Source organism: Homo sapiens, chromosome 17 (assembly GCF_000001405.40).
Source record: "Homo sapiens chromosome 17, GRCh38.p14 Primary Assembly".
Lineage (NCBI taxonomy): Eukaryota > Metazoa > Chordata > Mammalia > Primates > Hominidae > Homo > Homo sapiens.
Genome location: NC_000017.11, coordinates 22,089,411 through 22,115,335, shown reverse-complemented (window position 1 = coordinate 22,115,335; position 25,925 = coordinate 22,089,411). Strand labels below are relative to the sequence as shown.

Here is a 25,925-nt window from a genome sequence, read left to right as displayed (position 1 = left end):
AGCTTCAGCTTATTACTTGCCACTCTAGTCTTCTCTTTCTTTTTTCATTATTCAAACTTAGTCAATCACGTTTTTGTCTAATCAACTTACTATTTATTGATCTCCTAAAGAAGACATTCTTCATACATTAGAACCATGTTCTACTGTTTTTATCCTAGATTGACAGCACCTCTCACTTATTTTCATGTTCTAGGCAATGGGTAGCTTTGTTGTGCAGCTGAAATATTCTATGACGCTATGATCAAAAGGGCCATGAACAAAAGTGAATGGACTTTTAATGATGAGAATGTGGGGTTCACTAAGTGTGTTGCATTCTATATGTAAAATGTAAGTTTTGGAGTCAAGATTGGAATACAGATTTTAACACAGATTACAATCTACTATTACAAACTAAAAGTCATCTGCCATTGCTTTTAGTGGCAAAACCACAATTGCTTTTGCACCATCCTAATACTTTCCATATATGATCTTAAATAGAAAGACATAACTAGAGACTTACTCATATTTAAAATGAAGATAAATAATATTAATGATAAAGTTGTCTTATTTGATCTAATGAGATAATATGTAAAAGTTTTTAGCAGTGTTTGAAATATACTAAATTTTCAATAAACATATTCTCATTATTAGTATTTTATACTGTAGGTGTATATTTTTGGAAAGAGTATGCAATAATTGTTTAGCAGTTCTTTTCGCCAATTTTCTTTGATGGAATAATGTTTTTAAGTTTGAATCAATGAGGTTTAGGTGAACCTGATAAATCTGCAAATTCTAGAAGTTGTCCATGACCCAGTTCTGACTAGTGTATTCTAACTGGATGGTTGTAATTAATTCGTCCAGATATGAACATGTGACCCAATCTAGATGTAAAATTAAATCTTAGCTATTCCCTTAGATGAGAGAATTAAAATTCTGACCACATCATTTTATTTTCTGACTAAAACTAGCTATAATTCTAGACTTTTTAGTTATACACAATTGTGTTTGAGAGCTATCTCATATCAACTTATGAGATCCAACTATTAAATTCTTAGAAATATTTTGAGGTCATTTTTAGACACAGAAATTATTAAAAATAAACATTTTAATTTATAATTAAATTATATTAAAAATAAGGAAAATAAATTACTTAAATTCATCACTTCCTAAGTATTTCGCTATATTTTGCTGTGATTTATGCTACCGAAAATATTTACATAGATGATGTTTGTATCATGGCAACACTATATAATGGCAAGCCAATGTGCATCTCTCCAACTTCCTATTAATGGTCTCAGGTTGTAGCTTGTAATTCAGTCATGAAGAGAGTAGTTACAGCATGAAAATTAACACCACATATCAGGGTTCAATTTAATATTTTGTTGATTGTGTAGAACAAAAGTAATTAATAAAAGTAAAAATAAAGAATGAATAAAAGTATGTTAATAATGCAGATTATTTTTTAAATTATGTCTGTAACCATTACATTGTGAACCACCCTAACATACACGGACATATTATCCTTGTATTAAAAAATTATGATTCTCAGAAGAGTGCATCATTGGTGAACAAGTAAAGGTTTTAATTTTACTTTTATCTTACCACTAATGTATATAAAAGTAGTAACCAATATTCATATTGAAACTCTACTTATTTGCTAACTGCAGTCAGTTATCTATGGATTTAAGAGTTTGACAAAAATTAACAAAAACTCCCCCTGAAAAGGGAACTAATAATGTATTACTTGTGCGTTATATGCTATGCATCTTTATATTAGTAAAACATTTATTTAAAAAAGTTGCATATAAAACTTTTTTGAGAGATAATTTTTTTTTTTTTTTTTTTTTTTTCTGAGACAGAGTCTCGCTCTGTTGCCCAGGCTTGAGTGCAGTGGTGCAGTCTCGGCTCACTGCAAGCTCCGCCTCCCAGGTTCACACCATTCTCCTGCCCCAGCCTCCTGAGTAGCTGGGACTGCAGGCACCTACCACCATGTCTGGCTAATTTTTTTGTGTGTTTTTAGTAGAGACGGGGTTTCACCGTGTTAGCCAGGATGGTCTCGATCTGACCTCGTGATCCACCTGCCTCGGCCTCCCAAAATGCTGGGATTACAGGCGTGAGTCATCACGCCCGGTCAGATTCTGAAATTTTAGAGAAGCTACAAGCCTAGTCAAAAAAAGGCTATTATTGCTCAACCTCTAAGGCAAATTCTGTGATGTGAATCTCAAGTTGTTACTTACTAAAGTATGACATTTATCAGAAAGACAACTTTTCTCAATACTTTTCTAAAATATGATCAACATTAAAACAAATAAAAACCAAGACCCATCTATCTGATGTCTTCAAGAGACCCATCTCACATGTAATGGCATCCATAAGCTCTAAGCAAAGGGTTGGAGAAAGATCTACCACACACATGGAAAATATAAAAGTGCAGGAGTCACTATTTCTACATCAGAAAAAACAGACTTCAAACCAGTAACAGTAAAAAAGAGCAAAGAAAGGCATTATGTAATGATAAAGGGTTCAATTCAACAGGAAGACTAAGCTATCTTAATTATATTTGCACCCAATATTGGAGCACCCATATTCATAAAACACATACTTTTAGATCTACAAGGAGCCCTAGACAGCCCACACAGTAATTGTGGGGAACTTCAACAACTCACCAACAGTATTAAACAAATCATCAAGGCAGAAAACTAACAAAGAAATTCTGGACTTAAGCTTGACATTTGGTCAGCTGGACCTAATAGACATCTACAGAATTGTCCATTCATCAACGACAAAATACACATTTTTCTCATCTGTATATAGAACGTATTTCAAGATGGACCACATGCTCAGCCATAAAGCAAATCTCAATAAATTAAAAAAAATAGAAGTCATACCAACCACATTCTCGGAACACAGAGGAAAAAATATAAATCAATGCCAAGAAGATATCTTAAAATCACAAAATTGAAAGGAAATTAAACAACTTGCTCCTGAATAACTTTCAGGCAAACAACAAAATATAGGCAGAAGTGAAAAATATTCTTTGAAATAAGTGAAGAGAGACAAACCATATTAAAATTTCTGGGATATGGTGAAAGCAGTGTGAAGAGGAAAGTTTATAGCTAAACACCTACCTCAAAAATTTAGGAAGATTGCAAACTAATGATCTAACATCACATCTAGAGGAACTAGAAAAAGAATAACAAGCTAACTCCAAAGCTAGCAGAAGAGAAGTAGTAACTAAAATCATTGTGGAGCTGAATGAAATGGAGACCCCAAAACCCATACAAAGAATTAACAAAACCAAAAGTTTATTTTTTGAAAATATAAACAGGATTTTTAGACCACTAGCTAGATTAACAGAACAGAGGGAAGGTCTAATTATGCACAAACAGAAATGAGAAGTGACATTACAACCAATCACACAGAAATACAAAATATCCTCAGAGACTGTTATAAGCACCTCTATGCACACAAACTAGAAAATCTAGAAGAAATAAATTCCTGAGAACATGCAATCTTCCAAGATTGAATGGGAAAGAGATTGAAACACTGAACAAACCAATATTGAGTTCTGAAATTGAATCAGTGATTAAAAAAAAACCTACTAATCAAAACAACTCTGGACCAACTGGATTCACAGCCAAATTCTACCAGATGTATGCAGAAGAGTTGTTACAAATTCTACTGAAACTATTTCAAAAAATTAAGAAGACAGGACTCCCCCACAAGTCATTTTACAAAGCCAGCATCACCCTAATATCAATACCTGGTAAAGACACAACAACAAAGAAAACTACAGGCCAGTATCTCTGATTAATAGAGATGCAAAAATCTTCAACAAATTACTAGGAAACCAAATTCAATAAGCACATCAGTTAATTCACCAAGATCAAGTAGGCTTCATTACTGGGATACAAGGTTGGTTCAACACGTGGGATTTAATAAATGTGATTCACCACATAAACAGAATTTAAAACAAAAAAAAAATATGACCATCTCAAGAGATGCAGAAAAATATTTCAATAAAATCCAACATCTGTTCATGATAAACATTCTCAAGACACTAGATATTAAAGGAACATGCTCCCTAATAACAGCCATCTATGACAAACCCATGGCTGACATCATACTGAACAGGCAAAAACTGGAAGCATTCCCTTAAGAGCTGGAACAAAATATGGATGGCCACTCTCACCACTCCTATTCAACATAGTTCTGAAAGTGCTAGCCAGAGGAATCAGCAAGAGAAAAAAAAAAGGGCATCCAAACAGAAAAAGAAGTCAAACTCTCTCTCTTCACCTGATATTATTCCACACCTAAAGACAACAAAAGGCTCCTGAACTGATAAATTATTTCAGGAAAGCTTCAGGATGCAAAACCAATGTACAAAAATCAGTCACATTTGTGTACCCCAATAACGTTCAAGCTAAGATTGAAAACAAGAACATAATCTCATTTAAAATATTTACAAAAATTAAAATACCTAGAAATACATCTAACCAAGGAGGCAAAAGATCTCTAAGAAGAAAACTATCAAACACTGGTAAAAGAACTCATAGATGACACAAATGCAAAATTATTCCATGCTCATGAATTGGAAGAATCAATACTGTTAAAATGACCATACTGTCCAAAGCAATCTATAGATTCAATGCTATCCCTACGAAACTATGAATACCATTTTTCACAGAACTAGAAAAAAAACTATTCTAAAATTCATTTGGAGCCCCTAAAAGCCTGAGCAGTCAAAGCAGTTCTATGAAGAAAGAACAAAAAATAAATATCTAATATCCAAATTGTAGTTGTAGGTAAGCCATGGCATTTTGCCTATGCCCTTTCCTTTTCACTCCATAGTAGGTTTTACAATTGCAAATGTCTCACGTGTGTGCATACATATCTGTGTGTGTGTGTGCATGAGTGTGTGTCAACTAAGAAAGCCCTTTTAGTCCACATTACCTGGGAGCAATTAATAGTCATATGATACATAAAAATAAGTATAAAAAAATAAAAATTACCTTTACAGAAGCTAAAAATCAACAGAGTAAAAATCAACACTCTTAATATTCATAGAAATGTGGAGACACACCCTCTATTTCCGTAAGATGTTCAATGTTTGAGTTAAGCTTCTCGAATTCTCAATAGTTTACACAGATGTCAGTTCATAAGCAGTACACATAGAACACGGAGACCAGTATAATTCCTGAAGGGTTAATTACAAGTGGATGGATTAGGGTTTGGGTAGAGATACCACAAAGGATAGCAAAGTAACCTGTCACTTCCTAGCAGCCATTTCCTTACCACAAGCACATCTGAAGGAGAAGGTGCATTACTCAAAATCAGAAGTAAAACATCCTGTACAGTCTATGCTTTGTTTGAATCAGTCGTTAAAGATGTAGCTACTTACAGGGAAGAAGCAAGATGAATTAGTATGCTGGTCTAACTCTTCATCCTTCGCAGCTCCTGTTAAGGGTTCACCATGAGCTGAGGCCATTTAGAAGTCAGAGGACCCAGAAGACATAATGTATGTTAAAAAAGGTAATGGGAAAAAGTGGCACATGAATTTAAAGGAGCAAATAAGCTATCTTTCACAGTTCAGAAACATTAGCTTTCATAGGGATAACTTTTTCAAACACATACATGAAATAGTGTCTCTAAAATGCTTAGGACAATGTCTGGCTTGCACGAAAGAGGTTCTAAAAAATTATTAGGTTCGGCCGGGCGCAGTGGCTCCCGCCTGTAATCCCAGCACTTTGGGAGGCCGAGGCTGGCGGATCACCTGGGGTCCGGAGCTTGAGACTAGCCTGACCAACATGGAGAAACCCCGTCTCCACTAGAAATACAAAATGAGTCGGGAGTGGTGGCGCATACCTATAATCCCAGCTACTCGGGAGGCTGAGGCAGGAAAATCGCTTGAACCCAGGAGGCAGAGGTTGCAGTGAGCCAATATCGTGCCATTGCACTCCAGGCTGGGCAAGAAGAGCAAAACTCCGTCAAAAAAAAAAAAAAAAAGAAAAGAAAATTACTAGATTCATTCTTCTTCCTATATTTGCAAAATTTTCTAGCAAGAATGAGTAAATAGAAGAATCAAGGCCCCTTTTCTCTCAGAAGAAAGCATTTACTATGTTAAAGGAACACAAGCTGCATGTTGATAATACATCATTACATAAATATTTGACAATATTTGCTCCTTTATGAAGTAATTGGCATCAAGATTTAAGCTATCAAATACATTTACTATGTGCCATTTTGTATAAAACATATTTATATTGCTTTGAAATGAGCAGATATTTGCAATGATACTGTCCTTGAGTGGAGATGTTGAGTTCATATTAATTTGGTCTGATAATTGTGAGTAGCAAAATCTAATGGTTGTGGGACACAAACTCTGTTAACATTGCTAACTGAGGTATGCATTCAACTATTTTTGTATATACTTAATAGTTTTTGATGCTTCCTGGTGTACCTCTTGCTGTGGATTTCAAGCCAGCGTCAAAGATCTTGTTTGTATATACATATATTGAGGAGATATAGCAAAGTAAATAGTTTCTACAGGAATCCATGTCATTGATTTCACACCCTGATAGGCAGCAGTTGTTCCAGGATCTCTGCTAAAACTCCTCATATCTAATAGCACTGCAAATAAGAGAATGGACTTTACTCATGCCAAAGTCAAACAGAATCCTCTAAAAATTTAAGGGAATAATGGTTTTAATGCAAATATTTCTTTTTTGATTTCTAAAATATAGCTTTAGAAATTTACTTGAAAAAATCTATATGGTCTACTCTTGATACCTTGAAGAAAAATCTGTCCTGAATTCTGGTACTTTTTTTTCTCTAGACAAATGAAAAAGGATTTTAGAAGACTACTTTACCAGAACTCTTAACATCTAGCATCTTTCAGTTGTATGTGATTTGGGGAAAGAGATAAGGTATTAGATACATTTCTGCCAATGACAGTAGACAAAATTAAAATAACATGGACAAGGACAATTTCATTGCAAATATCTGTTCAGCTCAAAGCAATATAAATCTATTTTATACAAAGTTATACAGCAAATATATTCAATAGCTTCGATCTTGATGACAATTACTTCATAAAGGAAAAATATTTCAAACATTTATGCAATGATATATTGTCAACATGCAACATGCCCATGCTAAATATGTACTTCATTATTTTCATTGTCAACAATAATTCTTTAAATCTCCTCTTGTTCTAGCTGCCACTTAATTTGTCAGAATTTTCTAGAAAGGTGTTAGAGATCAAGAATGTTTTTTAAAATGCTGACAATAGAGGAAAAGGACATTATTAGGAAAGAACAGAGAGACAGTGGTAATAACCAATTTTAACATTTTTTCAGAATACAAAAGTAAAAATAAAAAAAGATAGTAGATTCATGTTATGACATGTAAAAAAAAGTATGCTTAAGAAGTGTTTCTATTTTTTGTTTTGTCTATCTACTGGCAACCTCCTTTATCCGCTGTAAAATGCTGCTAGGAAAAGATGCTGTAGAGAACTTACAGATATTTGTATAATTTTATATCTCATTTTAAAAAGTATGCCAATGACCAATAGATGTATGCTAATTAAGGTAATCTGCATGGATCAAATTGAGCACCCCAGATTTCAAAAGATATTCAAAATAATTTACCTATGTGTATCTTGATTCTGGTAAAGGCTGTCTGTAGACTTGGTGGTCAGTGAGTAATTACATCATAGTAAAAATCATGTGGCTTCAATTAAATAAAATATTATTTCCTTAGGAATATAACAGTATGCCTCAAATATGTGTGAAATATATTTCTACTCTGATATGTAAAAACCCAATTTTCTAATATATTGTGTACAAGAAGCATGACGGTTTGATGTTGCAAACCATAGTTGGGTGGTCTGTTAGATTTTATAAGAAACGTAACTGCTCTGTAGGATCATAGAGGAATGTGTGGGAATCAGATAAGAGTGATGAAGTGAATATATTGGCAACCTGGAGGTTTGAAAAAGACACCTGAGCAATTCTTGTAATTTTTTATATTTCCACACTATACAGCAAAGGCAGAACTAAGCACAGAAAAAAAATGGTAATAAGGCAAAAAGGAGAAAACACGATATCCTTTCATTGTCTAACATGATTTTTTGCATGATCCATGGAATAAAAATATAAAAAACTTTCATAAGCAATATAATCTAATTTGCTTATAAACAAAAAAAGCTGTCTTGGTCATTAATATATTTAATCTAAAATAATTTTCATTTAGGGAATTTTATAGATGCTTTGAAGTATCAAAATATATCTGTACATAATTATAGCACTGATTATACGAGTTGCAGAGGTAAATTCTGCTTGAGCAAACATAAGAAAAGAGCATATGTTTTCTTTTTTTTTTTGCTTCATAGACATTTTTTCTTTTTAGAATAAAGCTCTCTTCAACCAGAAAAATATATTTCAGTATCGTTTTTAATTTAAAAATAAGTCATGTGGTCTTTCATGATTAGTCCCTGATTTGAAAGCTTAGTCATTTGGGAAAAAATAAATATTGTTCGATCAACACAGTATTTTCTTCTTTAAACCTTTTATTCACGTCTTTGAGGCTTTAAAAATTTCGCATCTTTAATATTTTTTTAAATTAATGCCCCTTTTAACACCTAGAACTCATTGCCTAGTGAATTCCTTAATGTAGTCTCCAATGCATAATACATAGCTAAGCTTCCTTTGGACAGGTAATACCTCCTTTTTGATTGATTAAAAGGAAGTAATAAAGTATTAAGTAAAACACTAATTGAAATATAAATATTTTAGATTATTAGATAACCATCATAAAAACTATTCATACAGGAAATTGAAACCATTTCATTGCACGTATTTTACTAATTACATAATTTGTAATGCATGTTCTACCCTGTGAAGAATAAAAATACTATCTTTCCAGAGTATCAAGTATGTCATTGAGAATTTTATTGTTAAACATTAGCAAAGACAAATAACAGCTTGTGCCAATGCAAATTGCCTGGAAGTTTGTTGATACAGATGAAGATGGACAGATGGTTTTCTGTAAGCAGTATCATCATTGGTTTTCTACTTAACAGAAATGAAGGACCTCATATTTATGATGACATATTAGAAATCATGAGAATGAAGTTGCTCATTTTTCTTCTATTACTTTGCTCTATCAAGTAGAGACACTACTAGGAGAGTGCCTAGTGAGTACTTACACAGAGTGTAAAGTTATCCATTCTGTTTAGGTGATCTTGCCCATAATCATGGTCCAATATAGTATACCACTCTTGCAGTAAAGAGTGGTTAGCCATCGATTTTAAAAGTTCTAAGTCTATATCCTTATCGGAAGATGCAGACAGAAGAGGGAATTGTTTGAAGTTTATGAGTGTAGAGTAGGGAGAAGTAGCACATGCTTGCATCTTACTTAGAGTTGTCTGAGTGGTCATAAAATCAAACCACCTGTTTAGAAATAAGAAGTACTTAGTGGTAACAGAAACCAGTAAGACAGAACACATCTTCAATGACCTCAGAAGAAGATGCATAAAGAGCTATCACAAAAGGTTAAAACTAAAGGAGAGAAGAGGGATCAGTGAAACAGGAAGATGTGTACAGTGATAGTTCTGAGAAAGGTTCTTTTACCCTAAAATGGCTTTTGTTTTTATTTTTTTGAGACGGAGTCTGGCTCTGTCGCCCAGGCTGGACTGCAAGCTCTGCCTCCCGGGTTCATGCCATTCTCCTGACTCAGCCTCCCGAGTAGCTGGGACAACAGGCGCCCGCCACTATGCCAGGCTAATTTTTTGTATTTTTAGTAGGGACGGAGTTTCACCGTGTTAGCCAGGATGGTCTTGATATCCTGACCTGGTGATCCGCCCGCCTTGGCCTCCCAAACTGCTGGGATTACAGGCGTGAGCCACCGCGCCCAGCCCCTAAAATGGCTTTTAAGTGTTTTCTTGAATGAAAACACCAGATATATTCAACAGCAATACTAACACAAAAAGACTTGGCAGCTGGGTGCAGTGGCACACGCCTGTAATCCCAGCACTTTGGGAGGCTGAGGCAGATGGATTCATTGAGGTCAGGAGTTCAAGATTAGCCTGACCAACATAGTGAAACACCATCTCTACTAAAAATACAAAATTAGCTGGGCATGATGGCGGTTGCCTGTAATCCCAGCTACTCAGGGAGCTGAGGTGGCATAATTGCTTGAACCCGGGAGGCAGAGGTTACGGTTAGCCGAGATCACGCCACTGCACTCAAGTCTGGGTGACAGAGCAAGATTCCGTCTCAAAAGAACAAAACAAAACAAAACAAAAAGACTTGGCAAACAAACCATTGTCATTCTTTGGCTAACACTGTTTTAACCATTTCCAATTTAAGGTCCAAGTGTCCAGACCCCCACGTCTGTAAGAGAACATTGCTAGTCACAAACGTTCAGGAAAACAATCCTAGATTGTACTTCCTAATAACTAATTAGAAGTGTCTCTGCTGCAATTTGATTGAATCATCTCCAAGGAAAAACACTGTTGTAAAAAATATATAAATAAATATATATAATTATGTATATATGGGCATAATTTTAAATACATTTCATTACATTGATGTGCTCTCAAAAATACTAAACATGCAAACTAAACTCCTGTTGCTTAGACAATACTATAGATACATGTAGTCAATAACCTTTCTCCTGAACTGTAATCTCAATGAAATAAACTGGTCTTTAACCCAAAGAAATGTGAAGATCATCAGTATGGGATTATGTTTCCTTTATAATGGCTTTAATCAAGTGTCACTATACTGCTGAGTATAACTACAATTGCATTAAATTGCAATTTACTTAAGAATATTCAAGAGTCCTTAAATTTTCAAAATATAAATAAAACCTAACTTAATATTAAAACTGATTTTCAACAGAAAATGTTTTTACCTTGTATTAAAATTATTAGACACACTACAATTACCCAACTTAAACCTGGTTCCAGTTACATATTTTTCTGAATCCAGATGCTAGTAACATATAATATCTCTGTACATAACATCTTTACAAGATAGTTTAAAATATGACATATTTACAATCACTTAAATTTTGTTTTTGCTACCAATTGACTAGTGAAAATTCATACAATATCCTCATTTTTCAAGTAATAAGCTATTTTATAGTAGTTAGCATTGAGATTGCTCCACAATCCATTTTCCTCAGACTATATTTTCTTCCTCTGAAATCCAAATTAATCATAGATGGTAATATCTTTTGTGGAAGTAGAACTAAGGAGGAAATTTAATGGGCAATTAGTGGACAATTATCTTAGTTCTTTTTGAAAAATTAGAAGACTTAATTTTTAAAACAAATTCAAAACCTTTTTTATATTTGAATATCTTATCAACAGCTTGGATATGAAAACTTATATTTTTTTATGTTTCTACACTCTAGTTTTGAGTCACCTTTGTACCACAATCTATTATGGACAAAAAATAAAAATACTTATAGAGCACAAAATTTGAGAAAGAATGAAACATAACCCTTACCCCTTCACCCTTCCTGTAAAAGATTATAACAACAAGAATGATAACAAAAATGCATATGTAGCATAAGAACTATTTTCAAATCCTGATTCTATAGCTGATAATAAAGATATGGTATCTCTTTAAAAAGAAGATAACTGTGGCATTTTTAAAATATAGCTACGAATACTTTGAATGTCCTCACATCAAAGGGTAGACATCATGTTTCTTCCCCGTGAGACAGGCTGTGATTGCTTAAACCAACTGAGCATTAAAGTAATTCTATGTGACTTCTGAGGCAAGATTATTAAAGGCAATACATTGACCCATTAACTGAAACACTCAGGCAAACTACCTGTATGATTCCATGCTGTGAGGAAGCCCAAGTTACATGAAGAAGCAATATTCAGACACTCTGGTTAAGAGATTATTTTGAGCCCAGCCTTTAAGTCATAACAATGCAGGAGCCAAACATGTAAATGAAGAGGCTTTCAGAAGATTTCATTGTCCAACGTTTAATTCATTCCTAGACATCTAGGACTTCTCAGAGGCCCCAAATACTGTAGACCACAGAAATGTCACCCCACTTTGCATTTTCAACCCCCTGACCCCAGAATATATGATGACAAAATGGTTATTGCATCATGCCACTGAATTTGAGTAGTTTGTTTTGCAGAAATAACTAGCAGAAACAATCACAAATAGAAATGTTTTCTTTCTCCACAATTTGGAAGATCATCACAAAAAGGAAAGAAGAGAAAATGCGGCATAGCACAAAGCTGAGTCTTCCACTTGATAGCTGTACATTTTGGCAGTTGGTATTTAAATCATGAATGATATTCTGGGTATTTATGAAAAGTTAAATTAGACAGCATAATTAAAGTATCAGACACAACTGTGCTTTCGACCAAAAATGCATAGTTATTTTATCCCTCCCCTTAGTATTAAATAAATTTTAATAGGTCTTTTTATAGGTGAAACATTATTGCCAGAAAAGAATTTCAAACTATATAAACGAGAAAAAAATAATGTTTGGATTTTTTGAAATTAAAGAAAATTTCATAGTGCAAGAGGTATTGGTAATGCAGTCTATAGACACAAAAATTTCATTCATTTTTATAAATACATGACTGTCTCACAGGAAGAATACAAAGTTTGAGATACACAGGTAAATAAAAGTGTTGCATTTCCAGTCCTCATGGAATTCAGAATCTAGCAAGTAAATAAATGGGAATCACAAACAATTTTTAGCCCGATGAGTTTTTAATAAAGAGAAGACCACAATACTATGGGAATATAGAGCAGCAAAATTTGCCCTTGTCTCCTCGAAAATAAACCATTAAGCTGATTCAAGATAATAGACAGTAGCTAGTAAATATCAGATAAGTATGCCTTGAAGAAGCAGCAACAGACATAAAAGCTGTGAGAAGAATGCAAAACATCTTAGTGAAATTGAGAGACGACTAGTGTGTTTGGGTCATAGACACCAGTAAGGGCACGTGACTGGAGAGAGACGTCAGGGCTATATGAAACGGACCTTTAGTAGATTACCAAATTTCTCTTAAGGGCAATAATATATATTATTCAAAGGGGTTAAGCAAGTGATTTCAGATATTTGTTTTAAAATGTTAGCTAAAGAACACACAATCTATATGACTCTCCAGAGTAAAACTCTCACGGATTTTCATACTTTTTTTCCCCTTTTGATGCTCATGACATACCCTCATTCAAAAAAGGTTTGGGCATTATTCTTCTATAATTATACAACAGACATAAGAATACTTGATTTATGATTTGTACTGCCATGCCCTGATTTAGGAATCAGAAATATAAAGCCTTTTTATCACATACATGATTCAACTGGCAAAACTATTTAAATTTATCACTATGTTGTTTCATGATTTAAAAAAAAAAATCCTACAAAATGAGTTTACACTCAACTGTATCCCAAGTATAGCAAGAAATTTCATAGAAATATATTTAAAGAGAATTAGTTAAGTTTTGAAAAACTAGTATGTAGCTATATATAATTACTAAACAAGAAAATATATTATGATAAACCTCATTATTTTTGTCACAGTATCAAATGTCTGTATGTTTGCTTCACATTTAACTATTGACGCTTGTTTGAAAGCCTTAGTCTTTCTTGCTGTCTAATGGATGTTTGCTTAATAGGCCTTGATACTATTGTGGGCTTGAATTTATATAAATTCATATAATTTATATAATTTATAAAAATTCATATAATTTATGTAAATTCATATAATTTATATAAATTCATAAATTTCATAAAATTATATAAATTATATAAATCTTACCTCCAGAACACACAATATAATAACTACCTATCCTATACAGAGGGTCCAGATATTCTACCTACGTCTTTCTGGTCTCATTCATAGAACTTACTTCTACTACTAGTACACTCTTCTCATGAGAAAGCAAATAAGACACAAAAACAAAAAGAAGTCTACTTCCTCTTCACTCTCTTGCTTCTGCTCCCTGTCTCGTGAATTCAATTTGCTGGTTCTTTGCTCATGGAAACATTGCTTGGATCCAGAATGTGACTTTGCTTTCTGTGGTGCTGGCTCTTCTGCTAGCTTCTTTCCTTTTATCCTTTTATTAAAAATTATTCTAACATATTTTATTTGCAGCATATTTTCTACCAACATTCATCAGAATTAGGAATCTCTGATTAAAGTTAAGCACTATGTCTATGTAAGTTAAATGAAAGTTAAGTATATTCAACATATATAAATATTGGCATATAGCATAGCATCCAAGGACATAGTCTTAAAAGATAATTAAAACACTCAACTTTGATATGTGAGCTTGGTATGAAAATGAAACTCTGCACCCACACACAAACGTAACATTTACCAGAAAATTTTCAAGTTATTTTTTTCAAAGGAATGTCACCTACTGTGATCACAAAAGTTGGATGTCAGGAGTAATTAATTATCTCATACTTTTAGCCACAATGCTTAGACAGTAGGAATTAAAGTTTAAAATTGGGACATAAATCTGGAAAAAGTTGGCTCTGTGGGATCTTACGTATAACTAAGAATGCTTGTATTTTTCATCAAACTCTTCTCTTTTAAAGGTTTGCTTTATAGCCAATTAGTTTTGCTGTATTCCGAGTCATATATTTAATAATGAGAAAAAAATACGTTTTCTATATGTTGTCTTAGAAGAGATGGAAAAGCACTTCAGAATTTTGTCAGAAAAAAAGAAATACGTATCAAAGTAATTTTTCACTTTGTTACAAATTCGAGTGTCAACATCTACTCTATATATTTAAGTCTATTCAACACATGCATAAATAATGGAATTAATAATATAAAATATAAATGACTGCAAATAAGTTGACAAATTGTTGAAAGTTATTTGCTAGAACATGAAAGTTAAATAATAAAAGTTGGGGAATACCAAAATATCATGTGCTTTTTTATCTGCCTAGGGAGATTGATTACTTAATCCACTTCTTTTTAAAGCTTTATGAGCACTCAAATATATTTTAACTCTTTCTGAATGAAAAGATAATATTCATACAATGAATGTGAGGGTTTCATGTTGATCTTCCTATTGTCTTTTGTTTAACAACAAAACAACCTTTCAAACATAACAATATAAAACAAAAATTATTTGAGTATCTAGCAGACTTCTCTTGGAGAAAGAAATACACTGAGACCCAATTTGCTGTAGAGAGTGAGATTCCAAAGTATATTTCAGAAGAATTTCCTTGCATAAGAAATAAATGCAGAAGTTCCACCTCTAGAAAGGCAATGTGAAGAGTTCCATGGATCTTTTATAAAATTGTTGAAAATTATAAAACAACCATCACCTATGTCACTTGAAAAGTCATAATGGTACATAGAAAATGATGAAGTATTTATTCAAGAAAATCTACTGAAACTCACTAAGAACAGTGAGAGTTTTTTTGCATTTGATCCACAACCCATTCTTACCTCTCTTTCTCACAGCCTATCTTGATATAAACTCTACTCAAGGCAATGTAGCCAAAAACACAGGATTTTTACTAGACCCCATTGGGGGGATATAGTATCTTTCTGGGAGTAACAGTACATCAGAATTTTTCATTTCAACCCCCACCTGCTGCCACTACCTTTTCTTGAGGTTAAGCTTTTGTTGAATGTGGCCAAGAAGTAGGATGTCACTTCTTCCTACCAGCTCTAATTCATGGAATGAGGACTGTTTAGGTGCAACACACTGAGAACACTGAGCCCTGATTGCCTTCTTTCTGGTTTGTCTGTAAGGCAAAGTTCTCATTCCAGGAGTGGCAAGCTGAGATTACCAAAGGCTACTTCTCATCCCAGTGACCCAGTCTCGAAGTAGGGCTGTCACTCCGAGAGGAGAATGCTGCTCTCTTTGCTGCAATCACCAGAGCCAAAGCTCAGAAGTTTTGCCCAAAGGAAGGGGCAGAACATACAGCAGAGAGTGTAAAGCTTTTCCCAAAAGAAGAGTTTGGGGAAATTCAACCATAAGGGTACTTCGAAAAACAATGAAGTGATGGTAAAAAGCAAATAAGAGAGACTGGCACTTTATTAGAGACATATGCTTTGAAACAAAGGTCAGCTAGTTTACCAGGAATAACCCAGGAAAAAGACAGCTAAGAAGAGCCCTTCTGGTGTCAGGAAGAAGTTTCAAATGCTGAACAAATGAAAAGACCTGAAATAATAAATAAGACTGCTAATATAACAAAAGCCGTAAATACATAGTACGTTTCTTTTTATCTTTTTAAGACATAAAATTATGTCAAGTGTGTTAGTCTGTTCATGCTGATACATATATATATACCAGAGACTGAGAAATTTGTAAAGAAATTTATTTCTCATAGTTCTGCAGGCTGGAATTTAAAGATCAATTTGCTGGCAGGTTTGGTGTCTGCTGAGGTGCCTTGAATACTCCATCCTCCAGAGGGGGTGAATGCTGTATATTCATACAGTGAAAAGGATGAAAAGGCAAAGGGTCCTAATGTCCTAATTCCCTCCAGCCCTTCTGTAACACACTCATATCATCCATGAGGACAGAGCCCTAATACCCTAATCATATCCTCAAGGTTCCAGCTCTTAATGCTGTCACATTGAAATTAAGTTTCAACATGAACTTTGGAGAGGACGAAACAAACCATATCAAGTAACAGTTATAACAATAAATTATTGGGTACATAGCATATATAGATGTAATGTGTACAACCATAATAGCACAAAAAGGAGAGCCAAAGTACACAAAAGTGAACAAAAGTAAAATTTATATATACATATATGCCACTAGAATTGTTATGCACCTAAAATTGATTGTGTTAAGATGTCTACAGTAAACCCTAAAGTAACAATTAAGGGAAACATTGAAAAAATATAGATAAAATATTATTAAATTTAAATTAAATGTTTTATAAAAAATACCTAATTCAAAAGAAAGCAGTAAAGGAGGAATAGAGGAATGAAAAGACATAAGGTATACAGAAAACTGAAGTAAAATGATGGATGTAAATCTATACTAGTAACCTCAAGTGAAAATGAATTTAAATATTCAAATAAAAGATTGTCAGACTGGAGGTAAAACAAATTAAATAAACAAGATCCATCTACATGTTGTCTGCAGAAGACACACTTCAGATCCAAAGATGAAAATTCATAGAAAAAAAACGATAGAAAAGTTATACGATGCAGGCAGTAACCACAAGAAAGCTGGAATTGTTACATTAATATCAGAAAAAAATACACTTTAAAACAAAAGGGGTTACAGAGGTAAAGAGAGATATTTCATAAAAATAAAAGGGCCAATATCTCAAAAATAAATAATTACAAGCATACATATGTGTGATGAAAAGACTTCAAAATCCATTGACATAGAAACCTCCAAAAATGAACTTTAGACAATTTAACATACTTCTTGCAGCCTTTAATACTTTCACAAATGGATAAAATGACTAGGCAAAAGATCAACAAAGAAATAGAACACTTGAACAATACTATAAAATAACTAGAGTGATTAGACATTTAAAGAACACTGTAACAACAGTAGATTCTCAAGTGCACACGCAACATTATCCAGGAATACCATATCCCAGGCCATAAAATAGACCTCAATGAATTTAAACATTGGAATAATACAAAGTATATTTTCAGACAATAATTGAGTAAAATAATAAATCAGCAATAGGAAAATTTGGGAAACTCAGAATTATGTGGAAATTAAACAACATGCTATTAAATAACCAATGGGTCCAAAAAGAATAAGATAAATTAGAAAATACTTTAAAAAAAGATAAAATACTTTAAGAATGCATAATATCTCTTATGTGATGCAATAAAAGTAGTTCTCATACTCAAAAATAACATTCTCTAACCTGCCACCATAAGGCACTGAAAAAAGAAGAGCAAATTAAAACTACAGCAACCACAAGAAAGTATTAGGGATATACAAATTAGTGAAATACAAAATAGAAAAACAATTGAGAACCTCAACAAAGCCAAAAATTGTTTCTTTGAACACATCAACAGTGGCCACAATTTAGACAGACCGACCAACAAGAAAGAGAAACTATTCAAGTATTAATGAAAATTTTAAAAGGACACTAAACTTAAATAAAAAATTATTATAAAAGTACCTATGAACAATTATATCTAAAATTTAGATATTTTTTAAGAACCGGACAAATTTTAAGGAAAGGTTCAAATTAGCAAAAATGAGTCAAGGAGAAATATAAAATCTTATCAAGTAAAGAGATAAAGTTAGTAATCAAAACCACCAGCTCAGGAAACAATGACAACAGCAACAAATTCTAGCCAAGAATGCCTCTACCAAACTTTCAAAGTTGAATTAATACAATTATTTACAAACTCTTGAAAAAAAAGAAAGAGAATACACTTCCCAGTTTATTCTGTGAAGCTAGTATTACCCTAGTAACAAAACCAGACAATAGCATCAAAAAAAAAAAACAAAAAAAAAACACAGAACAATATCTTTAACAAAAATAGATGGAAAAAATCCTCAGCAAAATGCTAATGATCAAAATTCAGCAATACATAAAACATATAATATACTATAACCAGGCAGGACTTATCTCAGGAAGGCAAGAAAAATGTAAAATAAATGCATCATTACATTAACTAGAGTCAATTATATTTTCATTTTCCCTATTGATTACCTACTAAGTTGCTTCCAGTTTTACAGCATTTCGTACTGCCATTCCTAGACTCATTATCTGGACTGTTTCACAGTATCTACTTTAGAGAATATAGAGGGATAATCTTGGAAACAGAGAAACAATATTGTTCATTGATTTTAAAATCATAAATATATATATATATATATACACACACACAGTCAAAAAGTCATTTTAGCCAAAATGAATTCCATGTCAATGAAAATGAAATAACGAAATGATACCATCAATCAAAAAGAGATGAGAAAATGGAGGAAATGAATATTGGAAAATAGAGTCACTGCCTTAATTGTTGGATTTCTAGTGAAGCAGGTAAACAAATTAAATTCTCTTCTGTAGAGTTATCCTATCTAGGGCCACATGTCTTTAACCTGGCACCAACAAAGTACTAAAACCATATAACAAAACATTCTTTTATTAATTCCATATTCATCAAATGATTTTCTGGTATACATTTGGGTCCTCATGTAACTTTATCTAGAAAGAACACTTTTGTTAATTTAAAAGGAATATTTCAGTTCCTACAGCATTTCTTTACATTAACTGGTTTAAACACCAATCTCCGTTAGTTAATGTTAGTATACCCCTAACAAAAACTGGATTAATAATCAGGTATCTGGGCAGGAAATGCTGTGCATCAGGGTCTACTAGCAGTGAGTGAGTAAGGAAATGATTCTTTGTGTCTTTCTGCAGTAAGGCATTCATAGCTTCTGTTTTACAAAGCATAATTATAGCTACCAATATTTTGGAGCCATAGATCATCAGTAAAAGGCTATATTTGTGTGCAGAACATTTGATATAAAAAGTTAAGGCTTCCAGTCTTATTTTGTTATAACTTTTCTAATTATATGGTATTGTATTTTCAGATATGAGTACACACAATGAAAACAACTAAAAAAACAAAATTACCATTCACAGTTCGCCTTCTTTCCATCAAATTGGTCTCATGTCATATAAACCATAGTTAATTTTAGAGATGCAGTGTTCCTTTCTATTCATAGCATCAACACTCAAGATGGTAATTATTATGGTGAACACTTGGGTCATTACACTGGCTTATCCTTTAACAGACTGCTATGAAATTGGATCTTATCCTTAAGCTCCAATGTCTGTATGGCCCTGATAATGTTGAAAATGCAGTCCTCATTGTACCTAACCTTAGGAAATGAATAAATGGCTATTTGGAGTCCTGGCTCCCTTTGTGCTTTTATATTCCTGAGAGCGTGGTTTTATAATACTTCACAGAATAAGACTAATTGTGAAATATTTGGATGTAAGTTGATTTGGATGTCCCTGATTACACAACATCTGCATGTAAGACAATACACTATTTTCAATTATGATTTTGTCAAGTTCTCAAAATACAGGATTGACTTTTAACAGAAACTGTTTCTATGTGCTGGCATAATACCATTTGTGCTATTTTCTTATATTTATTCTATATATTAAAAAGGGATATTAATTAAAAGGGTTTTTGTGCTTACTTTAGACAATAAAGAAATTATGAAAGTTTACTCATAAATATGGTGGACAGTCATTTCATAACAAAGTATGACATTCTTTTATGTATGTCTCCCCAAGGGTAAAGATCATTCAAGCAAAACTATCTCCTGTATTGGTATTTATTCACCTAGACTGTTTTGGTTACAATTTTAATGAAAAGTCATGCTTATATTACTATATAATTTTGTATATGCATGGATATTTATCTGTTCAAAGTAGAGATGTAGTTGACATGAAGGGATGTCTGCCTAGTTCACAAAAGTATGACCATGAAAATATCATTTCTATGATACTCCCTCATTAGGGAGCTATCCCTTTCTCACTCCAGCCTTGAAACTGTAATGTCAGAGATCATAGTATCTACTTCCCTGTGCAGTACTTTTTGATCCAAGTAATAGATCCATGATCTGAGAATAGTCAAAGTGCATCTCAGATTTTTCAAGAGTTGGAGAGTGTGAAGGTTTCACTTCTGATGGTATATGTTGTAAGAATGAGTCTGTATCTGTCAGTGCCAAATTAAGTAAGATGGAATAAGAATAAAGCTGATGCTCAGAGAAAGGGGAATGAGAGTTAGAGGTAGTATTGACTATTTAAAATGCGTCTTGAGGTCAGACCCACAAATGCATTTTGTTATTTTATTTCAATACTGATAAAAGCTTCTTTTCATGGTTATAGTTAGTTCAAAATAGTTTTTTTCAATTTCAGTTGAAATAACAGGTGTAAAAAACCACAAAAGTACCCCATTTCCCCTTGCAAATGTATTGTTCTGAAGCTAGACTGATGTTGAAATACTCGAGGTCAACCTAAAATGATACTGTTTTACTGATGCCTTCACTTTTAGTATATTTTCCTTAGATTTTACAAGAGGTAAAAACATCTACTATAGATGTGTTACACCTTTTGAGGATGCTTGTAGTCTTCATATCTGGTGTGTGTGTGTGTGTGTGGCTGGGACAGTGGAACACGATGCAAAGACTGAAAATGATACAATTCCAAAAAGCTGTTTTTACAGTGTGAAGCCTAGCCTCCGAGTAAAATCCCAATACTATCACGCAAAAAATTACTAGGTTTGCACCAAGTATGAATAGGTTGGAAAACTAAAAAGGCCTATGAGGCCCTATAAGAACCACCTTATTAGTGTTTAATAAAGGTAAATGTAAAGTACAACAGAAATAAAATGCAGGAAATCATTGAAAGTCTGTCTTTCAGGAACAGAGCCTTTCTCCCTAAAGATCCTTTCTCAGTCTCACGGACACATTTTGTCTGTATATTATGAACCTTCAAGATTTGAGCTTACTATAATAATTAAAGGGAAGTGCAGAAAAGTCTTTACAGCAGGCTCCCTCATACATTGTTGGTTATATACTTCCTAAGCCAAGTTGTGTAAACTATCAAACTAAACATTCTCAACGATGTAGACCAGTTGGCACTAAACTTAAAGCAACACATTATGAATCACTAACTAGCACATGCCATTTTCATCTTGCTCACGGGTCAGTGTTATGCTTCCGATGCATCTCTAGATATAAATATCAAGCTGTTCCAAGTCCAACTGTAAGAGAGCCCTCTCTTATGTAGCCATACATTAACATATATGAGAATATAAGATGTGCTGAGGAAAAAGTATCAAAGGATTGAGAAATCTACGTAAATTTTAAAAAGAATTAACAGAAGACCAGGCTATATTTAATGTCATCAAAGACAATTCTAGTGCATTGGCATTATTTTTTCACGTGCCTTTTCTTTCTTTTCCCCTTGACTGATTCTCTTCTAACTAGTTTTAATCAATTTTATAGAATAATCTGCGTATAAGGCACACATTTTAGTCCAGTTCAGTTTTACAAATTTATAAAGCTAATCACCTACACAATCAAATATAGAATATTCCCTTCACCTACACATTTATTGCACGACCTTTGCCAATGAATTCCCCACTTCAACCCCAGAAAAGTTCAATGCATTCTGTCTTTATATAATTTCAAATTTTATTTACGTGGAAGCATACAATATTTATTATTTAGTATCTGCCTTCTTTCCTCTAGTATATGATAAAAATTCACTTTTTTTTTTTTGTACAAAGGAATGACAATCCTTCAATTGTAAAAACTAAACAACATGCCACCCAACTAATCACATGACTTAGGGTATATTTCTGAAATATAAGATACATTTTTAAAAGCAACTTTATTAAAACTCAGGGCTATTAAAGTATATATACAAATACTACACTAAAAAATAAAGTTAGGTTTCCAGGCCGGTCTCAGTGGCTCACGCCTGTAATCCCAGCACTTTTTGAGGCCGAGGCGGGCGGATCACGAGTTCACGAGATTGAGACCATCCTGGCTAACACGGTGAAACCCCGTCTCCACTAAAAATACAAAAAATTAGCCGGGCTTGGTAGCCTGCGCCTGCAGTCCCAGCTATTCGGGAGGCTGAGGCAGGAGAATGGCGTGAACCCGGGAGTCGGAGCTTACAGTGAGCTGAGACCATGCCACTGCATTCCAGCCTGGGCGACAGAGCAAGACTCCGTCTCAAAAAAAAAAAAAAAAAAAAAGCTTCTGCAAAGCAGAGGAAGCAATCAGTAGAATGAAAAAACAGGCCGGGCGCGGTGGCTCACGCCTGTACACCCAGCACTTTGGGAGGCTGAGGCGCGCCGATCATGAGGCCAGGAGATCAAGACCATCCTGGAAAACATGGTGAAACCCCGTCTCTACTAAAAATACAAAAAAAGTGTCCTGGCGTGGTGGCAGGCGCCTGTAGTCCCAGCTACTCGGGAGGCCAAGGCAGGAAAATGGCGTGAACCCAGGAGGCAGAGCTTGCAGTGAGCAGAGATCGTGCCACTGCACTCCAACCTGGGCGACAGACCGAGACTCTGCCTAAAAAAAATTAAACTGAATTAAAATTTAATAAAAATGAAACCACCCAGATAATGGAAGCAAGTATTTGCAAACCATGCATCAGGCAAGGGGTTCATACACAAAATACATAAAGAACTCAAACTACTGAAAAGCAAACATACAAATGATCTTATCAAAAAAACTACCCCAAACCTTTGTCCCCCACCATTATTTCCCTACCTTCTTTTCCAAACGGCCTTTGGCCCCCTCCCTCTCACCACCCTTTTTCTTTCACCATCTGCCCCCAAACTTCTTCATCATTTTTTGCCCACCCTCATTTCACAAAGCCGCCTCTACTCTCCTGCTCAACACCCTTTTCCCCATCCATCTACCCAAACCCTTTCCCCAGTTTCTTCCCACCCTCTTTTCCCCTTACCCCTGGCCACCCTCTTTTTCCCCGTCCCGCTCTCATCACCCTCTTTTGCTCCTTTATCTAAGCAAAAACATTTTCCCCCGTCTTTTCCCAAAACCTTCTCTCCACTCCTGCTGCTCACTACCCTCTTTCCCTGCTTCATCCAACCAAAAACTGTTTTCTTCATCGTCTTTCCCCGTTCCTCCTTGCCATTCTCTTTCGCTTCTCCATCTACCCAAAAACATTTCCCTCCGTCTTTTCACAAAGCCTTCTCCCCACGGCTATTCACCTCCCTCTTTCCCCCTCCATCTACACCCCAAAACTTTCCCCACCATCTTTTCAAAGTCTCCCCCCTTTACCACTAGTGCTTTTTTCCCCTATCCTGCTTGCCACCCTTTTTCCCCTCCCTCTACCCCAAACTATTTTTCCGTTGTTTTCCCAACCCCCATCCCTGCTACCTGTCGCCACCCTCTTTCCTCCTCATTATCCTCTTTCCCCCCTCCATCTATCAAAACACTTTTCACCCCCGTCTTTTCTTTCTTCACCGTCTTTCTTTTCTGCCACTGTCTTTTCACAAAACCTTGTCTTCCTCCTGCTGGCTACCCTCTTTTTCCTTCTCCCACTTGCTACCCTCTTTTGCTCAACCCAAAAACTTTCCCCCCTCACTGTATGTTCTCCCCACTATCTTTTCACAAAACCTTCTCTGCCTACTGCTCGCCCCGTTTTCCCCCATCACCTCCCTCTCTTTCCTCCGCCCACCTGCCACCCTCTTTTCCCCCTCCATCTACCCTTAAACTTTTTACCTACCGTCTTTCTGCAAAACCTTCCTTCCCTCCCGCTCCCCACCCTGTTTTTTACACCTCCATCTACCCAAAAACTTTTTTCCCCACCATCTTTTCGCTGCCATCTTTTTGCAATGCCTTCTCCGGCTAAGCTATCCTTTTTTCCCTTTGGCCCTAACTACCCTCTTTACTCCCCTCTATCTATCCCAAAACTGTTTTCCTTCGCCTACCCGCTCCAGCCGCGCTACTCTCTCTCCCTCACTGCCAACAACCGCAGCGAGGCGAGCTGCACTCCCGCGGCTCCAGCCTCCAGCATACGGCCACCGACTCCTGATTCCTAGTCCTCTACGTTGGGCAGCTAGCAACTCGACATGAAGATACAGGAACTTGAAAAAACGTGTTGCCGCTTCAGCATCATTTATATACTGCGGGGGAAGTGGGAGACAGGGCACTGTGGGTGGAGGTGTCAGGAATGGGAATGATCATGTTCTGATTGGATGAGAGCAAGTCTTAACACAACCAATCACAGCATGAAAATAAAGTCCAATCAGAGTAGGCCTAGAGGTTTTTTTTCTCATCCAATCAGAACATGTAGTCCAGGAACTGCGTTTGCATAACCTCATATATAAAGCATGCTGAGGTGGTGTCAGGTCGTTTCAGGCTCTTCTGTGTCGAGCGGAGGAGCAACTCTGTGTCCAGCTTAGAGGACTGGAAGAGGCCGCAACCTTCCGCCTGCTGGAGGATGGAGGATGGATGGAGCTTGGAGCCTAGGTCACTACCTCGCTGAGGTTGGTGGTAGCGATAGAGCAGTAGGAGAGCGGTCAGCAGCAGCAGGAGGACTAGAAGGAAGAGGCACTGCCACATGCTGGAGGCTGGAACCTGTGCCACCATGGCTCGCCTCGCTGTGGTTGGTGGTGACGTCGGAGACTGCAGCTCAACCACAGTGGTAGAAATGTGATGGGGTAGGTGAGATTTCTGGGCCTGCCCTGTGTGCCTCGGGGGGCAAGGGTTGGGTGTCCTATTGGGGTTCACTGCTAGAGGCTACCCTGCCTGTGGCAGTGGTCTGGTTTGGGGCACTCTCTGGGGTTGCACTGCTGGTGGTGGGGCAGGTTGCCTGGCTATCTGGGGCTATACTGCCCGTGGTGGCAGGGTGGGTGGGGGGAGGCAGATTGTGTACACTAGCTTGTATTGCTGGTGGCTGGGGAAGGATTAGGGGCGCTATCTTCTGCTGCACTGCCCGCGGCAAGGAGTGGGTTGGGTGGAGTTATCCGGGGCTACAGTGCTGGCAGTGGGGGGTGGTTTAGGGGCGTTATTGGGTGCTGCACTGTCTGTGACTGGGGGGTGCACCATTAGGAGCTGAACTGCCCGTGGCTGGGTCAGATTGTGGGCACTATTGGGTGGTATGCTCCCTGAGGTGTGTGGGGGGGGGCTTTTGCAGGGGGGTATTGGGGTTACATTGCCTGAAACTGTAGGGTGTGTTGGATGTGCTATCCGGGGGCTACACTGCTAGTGGCAGGGGGCAGATTAGGGGTGCCATGGGGGCTACACTGCCAGCGGCATTGGCAAGCTGAGGAGGTGGCAGGGGCAGCAACAACAGTGGCCTCCTTCTTCTCGTAGCTTCCAAGTAAGGGATCGTTTTCCTCTTCTCGGACTCCAGACTCTAGAAGGCGATTTTCTCCACTCGAGCTGGATTGCACGGTAGGGCCTCCACACCCACTGTGGTTTCTT

The 25,925-nt window shown here is 35.7% G+C and overlaps 1 pseudogene across 1 annotated transcript in view; it reads right to left on the bottom strand.

Annotated features, from left to right (window-relative positions):
* UBBP4 (ubiquitin B pseudogene 4) overlaps positions 1 to 24,586 on the bottom strand; it is a 114,402-nt pseudogene extending 89,816 nt beyond the window's left edge. The window contains exon 1 of the transcript NR_176224.1: positions 24,428 to 24,586. The product of NR_176224.1 is annotated as a ubiquitin B pseudogene 4, transcript variant 1 (transcript). The remainder of the gene's footprint in view (positions 1 to 24,427) is intronic.
* Between the last annotated feature and the right edge of the window lie 1,339 nt (positions 24,587 to 25,925).